The 16,187-nt window shown below is 48.4% G+C and overlaps 1 protein-coding gene, 1 long non-coding RNA gene and 2 other non-coding genes across 5 annotated transcripts in view, besides 5 other annotated features; all 4 read left to right on the forward strand.

The window, feature by feature from the left end:
* Nucleotides 1,801-3,000: an enhancer, noted in NCBI's record as "P300/CBP strongly-dependent group 1 enhancer chr17:75084131-75085330 (GRCh37/hg19 assembly coordinates)". NCBI's record gives its function as "activates an origin of replication core promoter dependent on BRD2, BRD4, P300/CBP, MED14 and CDK7 cofactors, with strong dependence on P300/CBP, by STARR-seq in HCT116 cells {active_cell/tissue: HCT116}" and the evidence as "EXISTENCE:reporter gene assay evidence [ECO:0000049][PMID:35650434]".
* Nucleotides 1,801-3,431: a biological region, named in NCBI's record as "P300/CBP strongly-dependent group 1 enhancer GRCh37_chr17:75084131-75085330".
* Nucleotides 2,267-2,576: an enhancer, noted in NCBI's record as "active region_12820". NCBI's record gives its function as "activates an Ori minimal core promoter by ATAC-STARR-seq in GM12878 lymphoblastoid cells {active_cell/tissue: GM12878}" and the evidence as "EXISTENCE:reporter gene assay evidence [ECO:0000049][PMID:35858748]".
* SNHG20 (small nucleolar RNA host gene 20) lies at nt 2,395-8,738 on the forward strand. The gene is made up of 3 exons (NR_027058.1): nt 2,395-2,701; nt 2,905-3,023; nt 6,996-8,738. It is a non-coding gene; the product is annotated as a small nucleolar RNA host gene 20 (long non-coding RNA).
* The window catches only part of SEC14L1 (SEC14 like lipid binding 1), a 128,417-nt gene continuing 114,666 nt past the window's right edge, over nt 2,437-16,187 (forward strand). For both annotated transcript variants that reach the window (NM_001204410.2, NM_001204408.2), the window contains exons 1-3: nt 2,437-2,701; nt 2,905-3,023; nt 6,996-7,099. The gene's annotated coding sequence lies outside the window, so the exon portion shown is untranslated. The remainder of the gene's footprint in view (nt 2,702-2,904; nt 3,024-6,995; nt 7,100-16,187) is intronic.
* Nucleotides 2,497-3,431: an enhancer, noted in NCBI's record as "H3K27ac-H3K4me1 hESC enhancer chr17:75084827-75085761 (GRCh37/hg19 assembly coordinates)". NCBI's record gives its function as "activates a minimal SCP1, AML or CMV promoter by ChIP-STARR-seq in primed H9 embryonic stem cells {active_cell/tissue: H9 hESC(primed)}" and the evidence as "EXISTENCE:reporter gene assay evidence [ECO:0000049][PMID:30033119]".
* Nucleotides 2,767-2,876: an enhancer, noted in NCBI's record as "active region_12821". NCBI's record gives its function as "activates an Ori minimal core promoter by ATAC-STARR-seq in GM12878 lymphoblastoid cells {active_cell/tissue: GM12878}" and the evidence as "EXISTENCE:reporter gene assay evidence [ECO:0000049][PMID:35858748]".
* On the forward strand, nt 3,059-3,245 carry SCARNA16 (small Cajal body-specific RNA 16). The gene has a single exon (NR_003013.1).
* MIR6516 (microRNA 6516) lies at nt 3,169-3,249 on the forward strand. Its single transcript, NR_106997.1, has one exon. It is a non-coding gene; the product is annotated as a microRNA 6516 (primary transcript).

Consider the following 16,187-nt stretch of genomic DNA (forward strand, 5'->3'; position numbering starts at 1 on the left):
GATGTGTTCATCGAAAGGTGTGTAACAAATAGCCCAGGGGACACAGGATATGTCAAACAATTGGCACCGGAGAGCATGTGAGAAGAAACTGTCACCTGGGACCAGAGCTGGCTTCAAAGGGCAGGTGTGCTCTGCTGGAGTGCGGATGCGCGGAGTGTCTGGGAGCTGGGCTGGGCAGAATGGCTGGAGCAGGGGTCTGTGTGGGCACCAAGGTGATGAAAGGCGGTCAGATCAACAGGGCCAGGACAGGTAAGGGTGATTTGTTGAGTTTTGTTTTTTCCTAATGAAGCAGAAATGGAAAAAGAGGGGGAAAGCAATCGTGTGGACTCTATCCTGCAGGTCAGACAGGCAGCCCCGGAGAAGACCTGCTAGGTGCACGGCTGGCTTGTTTCTAACATCACCTGTGGTCAGCAGCGCCACCAAGAGCCACCACCAGGGGGCAGAGGTAGGGCCATGTAGTAGACGCCTGTAGTTTTCGCCTGTCCAGGACGCCTTCACCCCTGCTTCCTTTGAGAAAAGTCCCTCTCCCACTCCAAGTGGTACTGACGGGGATCACCCACACAAAAGAAACCTGGAGGCTCCCCTCCTGGGGCACCCGGCTTCTGCTCCAACCAGGTGAGCCCAATGCCTGCCTGAAGCCACTTGCGTTGTTTACAAACCTGTTTACTCCAGTTAAGCTGATTATACAATTATATCCTTTCATTCTTATGTAAACTCATGAAATATGGTAAAACAAAACAGAACTGTAGCTCCTCCATCAAAACAAAAATGTAAGTTAAATATTTCCAAGTTAATAAAACTAACAGTATGTATTGTTGAATGTGAGTGAGACAACTCAAAGACATTGTGAAGGAGGTGCGGTCATAAAAATCTCGCTCTGTCACCCAAGCTGGAGTGCAGTGGCACGGTCTTTATTTTATTTTATTTTATTTTATTTTTTGAGACGGAGTTTCTCTGTTGTTGCCCAGGCTAGAGTGCAATGGCGCAATCTCGGCTCACCGCAACCTCCACCTGCCTGGTTCAAGCAATTCTCTTGCCTCAGCCTCCCAAGTAGCTGGGATTACAGGCATGCACCACCACGCCTGGCTAATTTTTTGTAATTTTAGTAGAGACGGGGTTTCTCCATGTCGGTCAGGCTGGTCTCAAACTCCCGACCACAGGTGATCTGCCCGCCTTGGCCTCCCAAAGTGCTGGAATTACAGGGTCGAGCCACCATGCCTGGCCTCAGTGGTGCAGTCTTGGCTCACTGCACCCTCCGCCTCCTGGGTTCAAGCGATTCTCCTGCCTCAGACTCCCAAGTAGCTGGGATTACAAGTGTGTGCCACCACACCTGGCTAATTTTGTATTTTTAGTAGAGATGGAGTTTCACCAGGTTGGTCAGGCTGGTTTCGAACTCCCAACATCAAGTGATCCATCTGCCTCGGCCTCCCAAAGTGTACCTGGCCTTTTTTTTTTAATGGTTATTTCTTGGTGATATGTTAAACAAGGGGTGGATTATTCATGCCTCCCCTTTTTAGACCATGTAGGGTAACTTCCTGACGTTGCCACGGCATTTGTAAACTGTCATGGCGCTGGTGGGCGTGTACCAGTGAGGGCAACCAGAGGTCACTCTCATAGCCATCTTGGTTTTGGAGGATTTTGGCCGTCTTCTTTACTGCAGCCTGTTTGATCAGCAAGGTCTTTATGAGCTGTATGACCTAGCAATGCATCCAAGTAGGTCTCAGCTTTATTTTACCCAGCCCCTATTCAAGATGGAGTTGCTCTGGTTCAAACGCCTCTGAGACAAGGTCCAGCAATTCTTCCTTGGTTGTGGGATTAGACTCAGAGCAAGATTCCTGTTCGTTGCTTCCTGTGCCCACAGACAGTGAACTGTCGGGAATCTACCAGGTCTTTTGGAGCAATAGGCTTTTCAGGGGGTATCCCAATAGGCCAGGACGGCCTGCATCTTCACGTAGCCCCTCTGCTCTTGAGCTTTCTCCTTCCTGCCACCTGGGGTGGTGGAAAGGGCATTGGGTTTGGAGCAGAAATGACTTAGGTGTGAACCCAGCTCTGCCACTTCCTGGCCGGCTGTGCTTGGAAAAGTAACCAAGCATCTCCGGAGCGCCCCACTTCTCATCTACAAGACAGGAGTGGTCTTTGCACTTAATTCAGAGGGTTGCATGAGGAGTAGAGAGATAATGCTTTCACGGCTCCAGGAACCCAGCGGGCTTTCAAGAAATGGGATGTTCCTTCTGATTCCCTCGCTCCAGGGCCCTCCCCTCTGGCCCAGGCTCTAGTCCCCATTAATCACACCGCGCGGGCTGCGACCCCTTTAAGTCCGGCTTGGATGACCCAGATCCAAAGTCATCGACTCTCTAGCTGCTATCTCTATGGTAAGTTATCACTTCCGGCCGGAAGTTGCTGACGGAGCTACTTCCGCCCAGGGGAGTGGGAAGTAAGTGGAGACACGTGCTTTGGCCTGTTGGAGGGGAAACCCGCTCTCGCCTCCTGGTGGTCGCCGACTCGCAGTCCGCAGGATGACTCAGGGCAGCCCTGACCACAGTTCCGCCGCCATCGGCCCTAGCCTGCGGAATTGGGCTCGCCCCGGGACGATAACAGAGCTCTGCCGGGGGCTGGAGGCACTGACCGGGTGACCAGAGACCCAGAGACCAGACCCCCTCCACGGCGCCCGGGATTTCGGGGACGGCTTCTCCCATCGCAAGTAGGGCTTGGACGGGAGGCGACAAAAGAGAACTTGGTCCGCACACAGCCACCGAAATTGGAATGAGGAGCTGTAGGGAGGCCCCGTAGCCAGCAGAAAAGCATTGGGGTCCCTGGCTGGGTTAGCCCAGGTTTCTAGGAGTGTGGTAAGCGTCGAATGACTTTTGTCCTTTTAAAGCACATTATGTTACTTTTTCCCCCAAGGTTTCAACAGAAAATGAGAAATATCCCCCGACGATTGGCTGAAAACATGCAGCAACCACTATTTTCTTCCTGCCCCTCGTTGATGAGAGCATTCGAAGTGACCTCAGCAGGGCATCCAGGTATGTCAAGCATGGTGACAAAGTGTTCAGGTCAGACGGTCTGGGGAAAGGCTCCTGTGTTGTTGAGCCTGCCAAGTTGTGGGTGCAGCATGGTACCAGGCAGCCCAACCCTGACCTAAAGTAAATTCCCGGAAGAAGTCTTTCCTGGGTTTTGAATTTGCAGTAACAGGTGTGAGCATTCTAGCAGCAGTTTGATGATCATGTATGATACTGCAAACAGGACCTACGTTTAAAGAAAATGGTTGTAGTTAGTATCAGAGAGCCCTTGCTTTTCAAAACTTCATAAACAATGTTACTGTCATGTCTTTCATTCAATAAACATTTGTTGATACATTGGCCTGACATCATGTTAAATGTTACGGATACAGAGATGAAGAAAACAGTCATGGCCCTTGTTCTCTGGGAACTACAACCCAGTTAGGGAGACAAGGTTAAATGATCACACTTAAGAGGGCATAATTCAGCCAGGTGCAGTGGCTCATGCCTGTAATCCCAGCACTTTGGGAGGCCGAGGCGGGTGGATCACCTGATGTCAGGAGTTCGAGACCAGTCTGGCCAACATGATGAAACCCCATTTCTACTAAAAATACAAAAAATTAGCTGGGCATGGTGGCATGTGCCTGTAATCCCAGCTACTCAGGAGGCTGAGGCAGGAGAATCGCTTGAACCCAGGAGGTGGAGAGGTTGCAGGGAGCCGAGATCACACACACCACTGCACTCCAGCCTGGGCAACAAGAGCAAAACTCCGAGAAAAAAAAAAAAAAGTCATAATTCAGGCCGGGCACCGTGGTTAATGCCTGTAATCCCAACACTTTGGGAGGCCGAGGCAGGCAGATCATCTGAGGTCAACAGTTCAAGACCAGCCTGGCCAACATGAAATTAGCTGGGTGCAGTGGCATATGCCTGTAATCCCAAGAGGCTGAGGCAGGAGAATCGCTTGAACCCGGGAGGTGGAGGTTCCAGTGAGCCGAGATCGCGCCACTATACTGCAGCCTGGGTGACAGAGCAAGACTCCATCTCAAAAAAAAAAAAAAGGGCATAATTCAAGCCAAAGTGAGTGCTCTGAAGGAAGGGAACGTAAGAACATATATCCCAAGGATCTGGCGGGTGTGGTGGCTCACACCTGTAATCTGAGCACTTTGGGGTGCCAAGGTGGGAGGATCACTTGAGCTCAGGAGTTCGCGACCAGCCTGGGCAACATAGTAAGACCTCATTTCTATGTTTTTTAATTATTAAAAAAAAAAAAAAAAAAGATCCGATGGAGACTAGAAGGCTTTTCTGAGGATGAAACCCTCGAGCTAGAATCTGAAGGATGGGTAAAAGTTTGCTGGGCACAGTGCCCCAGCAGGTGCAGCTGGTGAAGGAACTGAAAGAAGGCCTTTGTAGCCCAGAAAGCAAAGTGGAGAATGGTGGGAAATGAAGCTAAAAAGGTGAAGAGCTGGGCGCGGTGGCTCACACCTGTAATCACAGCACTTTTGGAGGCTGAGGCTGGAAGATTGCTTGAGCCAAGGAGTTCAAGATCAGCCTGGGTAACACGAGACCTTGTCTCTATGCAAAATCAAAAAAGTAAGCTGGGTGTGGTGACCCATGCCAGTGATCCCAGCTACTTGGGAGGCTGAGGTGGGGGGCTTAAAGCTGCAGTGAGTCATGATGGTGCCACTGCAGTCCATCCTGGGTGACAGAGTGAGACCCTGTCTCAAAAAAAAAAAAAAAAGATAGGGAAGGCCAGGCCATACAGGGCCTTGCGGCTCAGGCGAGGATGTTGGTCTTTGGCCTAAGAATAATGGGATACCATTATGGGATTTTTGGGGTTTTTGTTTTGTTTTGTTTTGTTTGAGATGGAGCTTGCTCTGTCTCCCAGGTTGGAGTGCAGTGGTGTGATCTTGGCTCACTGCAACCTCCACCTCCCAGATTCAAGCGATTCTCCTGCCTCAGCCTCCCAAATAGCTGAGATTACAGGCGCACGCCACCATGCCCGGCTAATTTTTGTATTTTTAGTAGAGACGGGGTTTCATCACGTTGGCCAGGCTGGTCTCAGACTCCTGACCTCTGGTGATCTGCTCACCTCGGCCTCCCAAAGTGCTGGGATTACAGGCTTGAACCACCTTGCCCTGCCCCTTTATGGGTTTTATGTAAGAGGATGATACAGACAAATCTGTAATTGCAAAAGAGCACTATGTGCAGAACATAGATGATGTGCTGTCCAGCAGCACTTTCTGCAATGATGGAAATGGCCTATCTGACCATTTTATGCTATCCAGAGCAGCCGCAAGCCACATGTAGCTGTTGAGCATTTGGTGACTGTGAGTCCACATTTTTTATTTTAACTGTAAATAGTCACATGTGGCTAGTGGCTGCTGTGTTGGTCTACAGTGCATTAGAGGGAGCAGTGCCACCTTTCCGGGAGTCGTGGCACACAGAACCCTTTTGCATCTCCTGCTCTTCCTCCCGTCTTGGCTGAAGGTTGAGATTATGCTTCTGGGAGAACCTTCATGTTGATTTCTCCTGGAGGTCTCCAACAGAGACAATAACAGTTTATGAAATTTTTTTTTTTTTTTTGAGAAGGAGTCTTATTCTGTTGCCCAGGCTGAGTGCAGTGGTGCGATCTCAGCTCACTGCAACCTCCGCCTCCCGGGTTCAAGCGATTCTTCTGCCTCAGCCTCCCAAATAGCTGGGATTACAGGCACATGCCATCACACCCGGCTAATTTTTGTGTTTTTAGTAGAGACGGGGTTTCGCCATTTTGGCCACGCTGGTCTTGAACTGACTTCAGGTGATCCGCCTGCCTTAGCCTCCCAAAGTGCTGGGATTACAGGCCTGAGCCACTACACCTGGCCTGTTTATGGAATGTAATATTGATTTTCTCGGCTGTAGTTTAGCCTGCTCCTTCATGAAGCAGCGTCTTCCTTCTGTCTTTGCCTGTTTTTTGTTAGCACACAGATTGAGAAGTGACATCATCAGTGCAATTAAGTACCTACAGGGGTAAGCACATTGAGTCATACGCCGTGGAGGGAATATAAAGAAAAGTATGGTCCCTGGTGTTAGGGGCTTAGAATCTAGCGATGTCAGTAGGCACTATGGAACAACAGGAAAGGACATTTTCTGTTGAACCCTTCAGGGGATGGGACCCTCTCGGGGAAGTAAAGGCTGTTTCCATCTGCTGAAATGTGACAAAAGGCGGGAAGCATGGAAGAATGTGGGGAGCTCCCTAGTGAGAGCTGTACTGAGTAATATGTGGCTGGAGGGAAGGGAAGAAAAGTAAAGTTGGAATATGTAGGTTGATAACCAGGTTGTAGGGCCCTTGAATGTCAAAGTTCAAGTGGCTTTTTTAACAAGCAGGTTTCTAAGGGCAACGTGGTGGTCTACAGATGACAGCCTGGAGAAAGATGGGTTAGAGCCGGGCGTGGTGGCTCACACCTGTAATCCCAGCACTTTGGGAGGCTGAGGCGGGCGGATCACCTGAGGTCGGGAGTTCAAGACCAGCCTGACCAACATGGAGAAACCCCGTCTTTACTAAAAATACAAAATTAGCTGGGCGTGGTGGCACATGCCTGTAATCTCAGCTACTCAAGAGGCTGAGGCAGGAGAATTGCTTGAACCCGGGAGGCGGAGGTTGCGGTGAGCCGAGATCACGCCATTGCACACTCCAGCCTGGGCTAAAAAGAGTGAAACTCCGTCTCAAAAAAAAAAAAAAAAAAAAAAGAAAGGGAAAGATGAGGTTAGGAAGTCCTTGTGATGTCTTTGAGTAGGAGGTGACCAGCCCTTGGCTCAGTGGTACCTGTAGACTTGGAAGAATGAGGGGTGGCTGGGGGCCCATTCCCCGCAGGGCAGAATCCCAGGGTACCTCCCATGTCATGTTCTAGGTGGAAGGTGGATTTTAGATTTTAGAGAGTATCTCATGGAGCTCACAGTTTTAAATATTCAGACTTGGTAAAGTAGAATAAGAACTGATGCATATACTTTTCTTTGCAGGTCAGTTTCTGGAAGACTTGTGTGTGTGATGAATGAATATCTGGTTTTGTCTCTGCTGGGCCTGTGTGCCTGGAAAGGAATTGTTTTGGCCTAGGATCATCCAGGTTTGTTTGGTTTAGTTCTTGACCACATATTTTTTGAATGGTGACTGCTTAAGACCCTGTTGTGTATGGCTATAAATAGATACACGCCAAGGTGACCACATACTCTGTGGTTCCTGTGCCCGCCGGCCATGTGTCTGAGTGTGTAGCCTCTCATCATCTAAAGGAACTTTGGCTGCAGAGGGGAGGCCTGGTCCCATGGGAAGTTTTGGGAGCGCAGCAGCAGGTGGGTTCAAACGACCCAGCAAGTGCCTCCTTAGCACTTAGAGGCGGAGGCCACCACGTTGTCCACGTGGGGTTTCTGATCCCAGCTCCCCACCAGCCTGCTGGACCTCGGGCAGGTCCCTCCCTGTTTGTACCTCCATTACTTCTTCAGTAAGATGGGGACACTGAAGATGACCATGCCTCCCACCAGATTGGTGCTTTTTTTGTTTTAATAAGGGACAGAGTCTCACTATGTTGCCTATAGGCTGGTCTCAAGCTCTTGGCCTCAGTTTTCCTGCCTCAGCCTTCAAATATGCTGGGGTGACAGGCATGAGCCACTGCACTGGCCCAGATTGGTACATTTGAGGGTTAAATGAGCAAATCCTATAAAGCACTCAGGAGAGGGCTGTGGGGTTTGGGCTGGGGCCTGGGAGCACTTTAGACGTGGTAGCTATGTTGTTGTCACCTTTCTCCTCTTTCAAAGCATTTTTTGTTTGTTTGTTTTTGTTTTTGAGACAGAGTTTCGCTCTTGTGGCCCAGGCTGGAGTGCGGTGGTGTGACCTCGGCTCACTGCATCCTCCGCCTCCCGGGTTCAAGTGATGGGATTACAGGTGCCTGCCACAACGCCCAGCTAATTGTTTGTATTTTTAGTAGAGACGAGGTTTCACCATGTTGGCCAGGCTGGTCTCGAACTCCTGACCTCAGGTGATCCACCTGCCTTGGCCTCCCAAAGTGCTGGGATTACAGGTATGAGCTACCGCGCCCGGCACAAAGCATTTTCAGCTGTGAAATTCCCTGGGGTGCTGCAGTAGAGGAAGGTTTGGGGTCTTGACGGGTGCTATTTGCCACGGAAAGATGCCTTCCTGCTCCCAGGGCAGGAGAGCCGAGGTAAGACTTACTGTAGGCTGTCGTTTTTTTTGTTTGTTTTTTGTCTTTGCGATGGAGTCTCACTCTGTCGCCAGGCTGGAGTGCAGTGGCATGATCTTGGCTCACTGCAGAACCTCCACCTCCCAGGTTCAAGCGATTCTCCTGCCTCAGCCTCCCAAGTAACTGGGATTACAGGCACATGCCCCCACAACCAGCTAATTTTTTATTTTTAGTAGAGACAGGGTTTCACATGTTGGCCAGGCTGGTCTTGAACTCCTGACCTCAGGTGATCCGCCCGCCTCGGCCTCCCAAAGTGCTGGGATTACAGACATGAGCCACTGCGCCCAGCCAGGCTGTTGTTTTTTTACCTCCTTGTTTGCACAATTTGGGCCACTCACAAGAGTGTATACCCTGTGATAAACAGTTACCTACATTCTCCTCTGCATGCTTGTCTTTAGAGGAAGGAAATGTATTAATTGCCCAAAGTAATATATTGTGTTAAGATGTGATATATACTGGGGAAAAAAAAAGTGTATATTGACATTTCTGGAATAAACCACTTTGATTCCCAGTTACTGACTCGTTCTCCTGTGTGGTGTCTTTCCTGTATGCAGAAGGCCGGCTTCCCCACAGGGGCTGGGGGTGACTTGTCTGTCCTTGGAATATGAGTCTTTGCAAGCAGCTGCTGCCCATGTGCACAGTTCCTCGAGGAGTTGGTTCAATCTTGGTTTGGGAGTTTGATTGGAAGGATTAGATCCTAGGCTCCCCTGAGCAGTAACATCTTATTTATAGCGTGGAAAATGGACAGAGCTGTTGATACTTAGGAGAGCTTTCCTCATTATCACCCCGAGGAGAGTGCCTGAGTCTCCAAGAGGTCATTGTTGGTCTGCAAGCTCTTAAGGCAGAAGAGTCTGCCAGTAACAGGGAAATCAGGACAGGATGGGAATGAGTGTCCCAAGGCAGTGACAGAAGCTGAGGCTGAACCTTCCCAGGAATCCTCCACCTTCAGGGTGCCACCTTGTCTCTGCATGAAGTGTCTGCAGACACACTGCCTGAAAGTGGCTCCTTAACAATGAACCTGCTTGCCTTTTCTCTGTCACTAGACCCCAAGACAATGAAGAGCCTTCATTGGCTGGGCATGGTGGCTTGCGCCTGTAATCCCAGCACTTTAGGAGGCCGAGGCGGGTGGTCAGGAGTTCGAAAGCAGCCTGACCAACATGGTGAAACCCCATCTCTACTAAAAATACAAAATTCAACCAGGTGTCGTGGCAGGCACCTGTAATCCCAGCTGCTCGGGAGGCTGAGGCATGAGAATCAGTTGAACCCAGGAGACAGAGGTTTCGGTGAGCCAAGGTCACACCACTGCACTCCAGCCTAGAAGACAGAGCAAGACTTTGTCTCAAAAAAAAAAAATTAACTAATTACTGAAATAAATAAACAGCCTTCACTAATTCTCCTACACAGTAATGGGCGCGCTCCTCCTACACAGGACTGGCATGCTGGGCATCTTTCTGGGTGATGGGAGGGAGGCCTAGACTCCATGGGTGGAGGCCTAGGAAGGTTTTGTGTGGCTGTCAGGAACATTCCCTGGCCTTGGCTGTCTCCTGCTGTCATTCAGTTCCAGCTCCTTGCAGTCAGTCTTTTTTTTTTTTTTTTTTTTAAATAGAGATGAGGTCTCACTGTCTTGCCCAGACTGGTCTTGAACTCCTGGGCTCAGGTGATCCTCCCACCTCAGCCTCCCAAAGTGTTGGAATCACAGGCATGAGCCATCACGCCTGGCTACAGATGGTGCTTTCAATATTAGCAATGGATAATTAAATATGTGGTTAAGAAGTTGTATTTAAGGTTAAAAATCACTATGAGGCTGGGTGTGGTGGCTCAAACCTGTAATCCCAGCACTTTGGGCCAAGGCAGGCGGATCACCTGAGGTCAAGAGTTCGAGACCAGCCTGGCCAACATGCTGAAACCCTGTCTCTACTAAAAATACAAAAATTAGCCAGGCGTTATGTTGCGTACCTATAATCCCAGCTACTCGGGAGGCTGAGGCAGGAGAACCGCATGAACCTGGGAGGCAGCGGTTGCAGTGAGCCGAGATAGCGCCACTACACTCCAGCCTGGGTGACAGTGAGACTCCATCTCAAAAAAAAAAAGTCACCGTGGGACACAAGCCCTGTATCAGAAAAGGTATAGAAATTAAAGAACAGTTAAGTCAAGATTTTGAATTTCTCTCTTCGTCCACTAGAGGATGTAATCCAACACCAGACTGTGTTCTCTGATGTAACTTGGTATAGAGTTTGGGTTTTGGGGCTTTTTTGTTCTGTTTTGATTTGTGTAATTTAGCCAAGACTTTCTGTGACCAAAAAGTTATGTCTGTTGTAACTTGGTACAGAGTTTGGATTTTGGGGTTTTTTTGTTTTGTTTTGATTTGTGTAATTTAGCCAAGACTTTCTGTCACCAAAAAGTTATGCAGAAGATTCATCTGCGGGGCTGGGCTCTTAGTTACGAATCTGTCCGGTTGTCCCAGTGGAATCAGTCCAGGTGTCTTGGTTCGTGATAAGTGCTTTCCTTGGAAGCGTTTATCATGTCAGGAACCAAGCACAGGCACTGCACGTGGAGATAAGAGCGTGTTCTAATACATTTCTCCGTTCCAATGTACTCCCAGTGCCAGCTGGTGAGAACATCGGGAAAGATTTTCTTTGTAAGGAATCCAGTGTTAACACGTACCAGTATTTGAAGTCCCAGACAGTGTGCATTAAGGGTTTAGAAGTGTCTCTGGCATGAACATTGCTTATAACTTGAAATTGACAGGTACTTATCAAGACCAAACAAAGTTTGCACAAAGCCAGCACAGTTAAGAGTGCTGATTGTGGCCGGGCACGGTGGCTCACGCCTGTAATCCCAGCACTTTGGGAGGCCGAGGCGGGCGGATCACAAGGTCAAGAGATCAAGACCATCCTGGCCAACATGGTGAAACCCCGTCTCTATTAAAAGTACAAAAATTAGCCGGGCGTAGTGGCGCACGCCTGTAATCCCAACTACTCGGGAGGCTGAGGCAGGAGAATCTCTTAAACCTGGGAGGCAGAGGTTGCAGTGAGCCGGGATTGTGCCACTGCACTCCAGCCTGGCGACAGAGCAAGACTCCATCTCAAGAAAAAAAATTTAAAAAAAAGAGTGCTGATTGTTAGCTGGTGGGAAAGTGGACTTGCTGGGTGGGGGCGGGGGAGTGGGGAGAATGACCATTCTGAAAGTGTAATCTTCAACAGAGTACTGTACGTTCTCTGGCTTATTAGCCCGGTGAACAGCTTTCTGATGGTTTTAGTTGAACAAGTATTGCTGGATATGTTAAAATACAGCCAGAGGCAAAACATACTCCCTCCTCTCAGAGAACTTATATCCCAGGATAGGGGAGACTGGAAACAGGTCATTAGAATATGCAGAATAACAGATGAGTGCTATGGAGAGAAAGACAGCAGCCCCACTACGGAGGAGCACGGGATGGGGTTTGCAATTTTAGATGGGTGGCCTTTAACCAAATCCTTCAGTGAGAGTAAGTCACATGATGACCAGGAAGAGCACCCCAGCAGGGGAGGCAGCCAGTGCCCTGGCACACAAGCAAAAGGAGTTGATGAGAGGGCTGGGGGGCTGAGGCCAGATCTCATGGGGCCTCACATGGAGGAAAGTGTGGGACTTCTGCCTTTTCTCTGAATAGTGTCCGTAGCTTACATATTCTATCTACTCTTGCCTTTTAGGAACCATTTTTCCCTCTAATGGTAGTTTACGTTAGAAGTATTTCCTGTTCTAGGCCCGGTGCAGTGGCTCATGTCTGTAATCCCAGCACTTTGGGAGGCCAAGGCAGGTGGATCACCTGAGGTCAGGAGTTCGAAACCAGCCTGGCCAACATGGCAAAACCCCATCTCTACTAAAAATACAAAAATTAGTCAGGCGTGGTGGTGCATACCTGTAATCCCAGCTACTCGGGAGGCTGAGGTACGAGAAATGCCAGAACCCAGGAGGCAGAGGTTGCAGTAAGCCATCGTCGTGCCACTGGACTTCAGCCTGGGCGACAGTGAGACTGTCTCAAAAAAAAAAAAAAGTATTTCCTGTTCCTACACATTGGCCCATTGAGAGGATCCCAGGTCTATGCATGGGGACACCGTCTTTTTGGCTCATGTTGAGCCACATGTCCTGCAGTATTTGGAAGTGTTCTGGGACAGACTTTGTTCACATAAAGATCGCGTGCCCTTCACTGCAGTGATGAAGCTGGAGACTGTCTTTCTCTGTGACAAGGACCTCAGCCCTGGATCTGTCCTCTCCTAGTGCCCACCTCATTCATGGAGCTCACCCCGTGGTTTTGGAATTGTTTCCTTCCCTGTGCCTTAGCTTCCCTGAACACTACTTCTACACTAGCTCCTTGAGAGTGGGAGCCCTGGACTTATTGCTTTTTCAACAGAGTAGATATGTGTGTTTCATTTATATCAGTATTTAAATTGCTAGCAACAAGACCACAAAAACTACATTCTCATAGAAGCCTGTTTGGGTTTGATGTGGTTACATGTGATTAATGTATTTGAAATAGTTATTTGTTGTGATTTTTTTTTTCAGATCAATTATGCAGCTACAGCCAAAACCAAGTTCTTTTTATTGCAATGGTAATGAAAGGAGCCCCGTGTAAGTCACTGGAAGGTCACATGTTCACAGACTGTCAGCTGTGGAGGGTTATGTAACAGTGGTTATGCAATGCCACGTTAGAACTACAGCCCGAGCAGCAAAACATTTAGATAATTTTATTGAATTAAAATAAGACTTCCACTCTCTTTGAATGACAAATCCCTTTTAACAAAACCAAGACTTGGGTTTTAATGTTGACTCCCACACGAGGCTCCGTAAGCCACATTTTACCTTCTATGCGTGGCTGGCCCCATTGAGTAGATTTCTGAAAGTCAAATTTCTGACATGAGCCTATTTGAAAACTTTGCTCAGTTGTCATCTTCTATCAGGATGAGTTATGGACGAAGCCCCCCATAAATCCTAAGGCACATCTTGAAGCCCCTAAAATCCAAAGGCATGGCCGGGCTCACATCTGTAATCCCAGCACTTTGGGAGGCCAAGGCGGGTGGATCACTTTGAGGTCAGGAGTTCGAGGCAAGCCTGGCCAACATGGTGAAACCTCGTCTCTACTAAAAATACAAATATTACCCGGGTGTGGTGGCACACTCCTGTAATGCCAGCTACTTGGAGGCTGAGGCAGGAGAATCACTTGAACGTGGGAGGTGGAGGTTGCAGTGAGCTGAGATCACCCCACTGCATTCCAGCCTGGATGACAGAGTGAGACTCTCTCAAACAAAAACAAAAAAAATCCTAAGGTACGTGAGTCTCCTTCACTAATGTACTGTCTTTGTTCCAAGATACTTCACCCCTTCGAAAGTTAACGGGGAAGATCAAAAGGAGGTATTAAGAGATCAAAATGAAATAAAGGCTTCATGCGTTTTTTGTTGTTTTTTTTTAACATGCCCCAGCATTACAACAAAAACATGTCTTTTTGTTTAAAAAAATTTTTTTTCCCAAAGTAATACATGCATTAGTTCAAAAAATTCATAGAACTAAAAGGCTTCTAACACTAGGCTAAGCTTCCCTGCTCTGGCGCTCCCAGCGGGAGCCATTTTCCATTCCTTCAGCTTCGCTGGTTTTGTTTCCGAGGAGCGGGCGTGCTGCGCTGCTTCTCTTTGAGTCATCTGGGTCCTCGCCTGTTGACTTTCTTCCTGGTAGATGTGGACTGACCTCTTCCTGGTAGATGTGGACTGACTTCTGCCTATTCACCCTCTGCTTCCCCTTCTGCACCCTCCGAGCACTGTGGTCATCTGTACATGCGGCATTCACGTTAGTGCGCATGCGCAAAAGGTGCCTACCGCCCTGCGCTGCAGTGTGTGCATTCTGTATTGTTGTCCCTGTTAATTTCCCCTTCCTTGGCTGGCTTTTTCTTTTTTTTTTTTTCTTTTCTTTCTCTCTCTCTCTCTTTTTTTTTTTTTTTTTTTTTTTTTTGAGACAGAGTCTCACTCTGTTGCCCAGGCTGGATTGCAGTGCTGTGATCTCGGCTCACTGAAACCTCTGCCTCCTGGGTTCAAGCAAATCTCCTGCCTCAGCCTCCAGAGTAGCTGGGACTACAGGCGCCCACCACCACGCCCGGCTAATTTTTGTATTTTTAGTAGAGACAGGGTTTCACCATGTTGGTCAGGCTGGCCTCAAACTCCTGACCTCAAGCGATCCACCCACCTCGGCCTCCCAAAGTGCTGGGATTACAGGAGTGAGCCACCGCGCCCAGCCTGGGCTTTCTCTGAACCTGCTGCTAAATTCTTCCCACACTTCCTGGTGGCCTCTCAGCGTAACTTTACGTAAGGTCAATCAAGTTAATTTATCCATTCCAATTTTTTTCTTAGATGAGTGAGAGAAGACTTTTCATACAATTGATTAAAGTTTTGTTACAATATTGTATGCAGGGGTCAGGCTGTAGTAGTCCAATTCATAAGTTCACATTTAGGTAGGGATATTTTATAGGAAAATATAAGAGCTGGATTATTGTTGTTAGGCCAAATCTAGAGTCACAGGCTGATGGTTCTGACAGGCAGCTGGTTGGGTAACTGGTTTCCCAGAAAACTCCTTCCCAATCTTGCCAGTCTCTACCCAGAAGCAAGTTATGAATTTATTAATTATATCAGGTAGAAAGGGCTCTGTCCCAAGCCTGGTTTAGTGTTAAGCATATAGTCCCTCTCTTTTTTTTTTTTGAGACAGAGTCTCGCCCTGTTGCTCTGTTGCCCAGGCTGGAGTGCAATGGCACAATCTCGGCTCACTGCAACCCCAGTCTCCCAGGTTCAAGCAATTATCCTGTGCCTCCTGAGAAGCTGGGATTACAGGCGCACACCACGCCAGGCTAATTTTTGTATTTTTAGTAGAGATGGCGTTTCACCATGTTGGCCAGGCTGGTCCCGAACTCCTGACCTCAGGTGACCCGCCCACCTCAGCCTCCCAAAGTGCTGGGATTACAGGCATGAGCCACTGTTCCCGGCCCCTCTTTTTTGACCAGACATAATAACTGTCATGGTTAAATCCCTGTCTTGGTTCAGAAGGCCCACGTTGTTGCATTTTTGGTCTAAGAATATAAGTGAATTTGTTGTCTAGTTGAGTGCTTCCCAAACAATTTGCAAAGGACTCCCCTGGGGATCCCATCAAAATGCAGCTTCTGGTGGTTCTGTGGGTCTGGCCTGGGCTGGAGATTCGGCAGTTCTCACAAGCTCCCAGGCCATGCTGATACTGCTGGTCTGAGGACCACTCGGTCCTTTCTCAGGGATGGTGGGACTTAGGCGTGGACTTACTTTGTAGAACACATCATCCTGACTATTGGTGGTGCTCATTTACACGTTGATGTAATTCCTTTAAACCAGCGTCCTGTGTTAGGGAAAACGTTCCCAACAGTCCCGTTGCGGTCACCATTTCTTGTAGTTTATTCACCAGGGTCTCTATGTCATGCAAGCTGGGTTCTCTGAGGTCTCTTATTTACATAGGTACATCAAGAGGCAATGATTAACATCCAAAGACCTCTTTGCTATTTGCTTAACAAAACTGCAGTCATCTGTTGGGGAAATATAATTTAAAAACAAAATCCCCCAACCCAGAAAGCCTCGCCACAAAAGTAAAAGCAAAAGAAAACAATTTTATGATTGAATAAGCATTAAACCAAAACGCGTTGAGCATCACAGGCAGCCCACTGAAAGAACTGCAGAGACAAATCTCCCGCTTTGATACAGCTAAGTGGATACAGCCCATGCACTGTGTAAGTGGGTTTTGCCATTTAGAATCAGGTGACAGCTGAAGTTGGGATCATCCCCTCCGGAAAACAGTTATCTTCCTTGATGATTACAGTTCACGTGGGTGGCTCAGGTCCTTGGGGAAACATGACTTGAGTTGGGGGAAACTGGCAGGAGACTCATTTAACCACTTGAAAGCTGTATACACTTTTGAAAAGGAC

Source organism: Homo sapiens, chromosome 17 (genome assembly GCF_000001405.40).
Source record: "Homo sapiens chromosome 17, GRCh38.p14 Primary Assembly".
Lineage (NCBI taxonomy): Eukaryota > Metazoa > Chordata > Mammalia > Primates > Hominidae > Homo > Homo sapiens.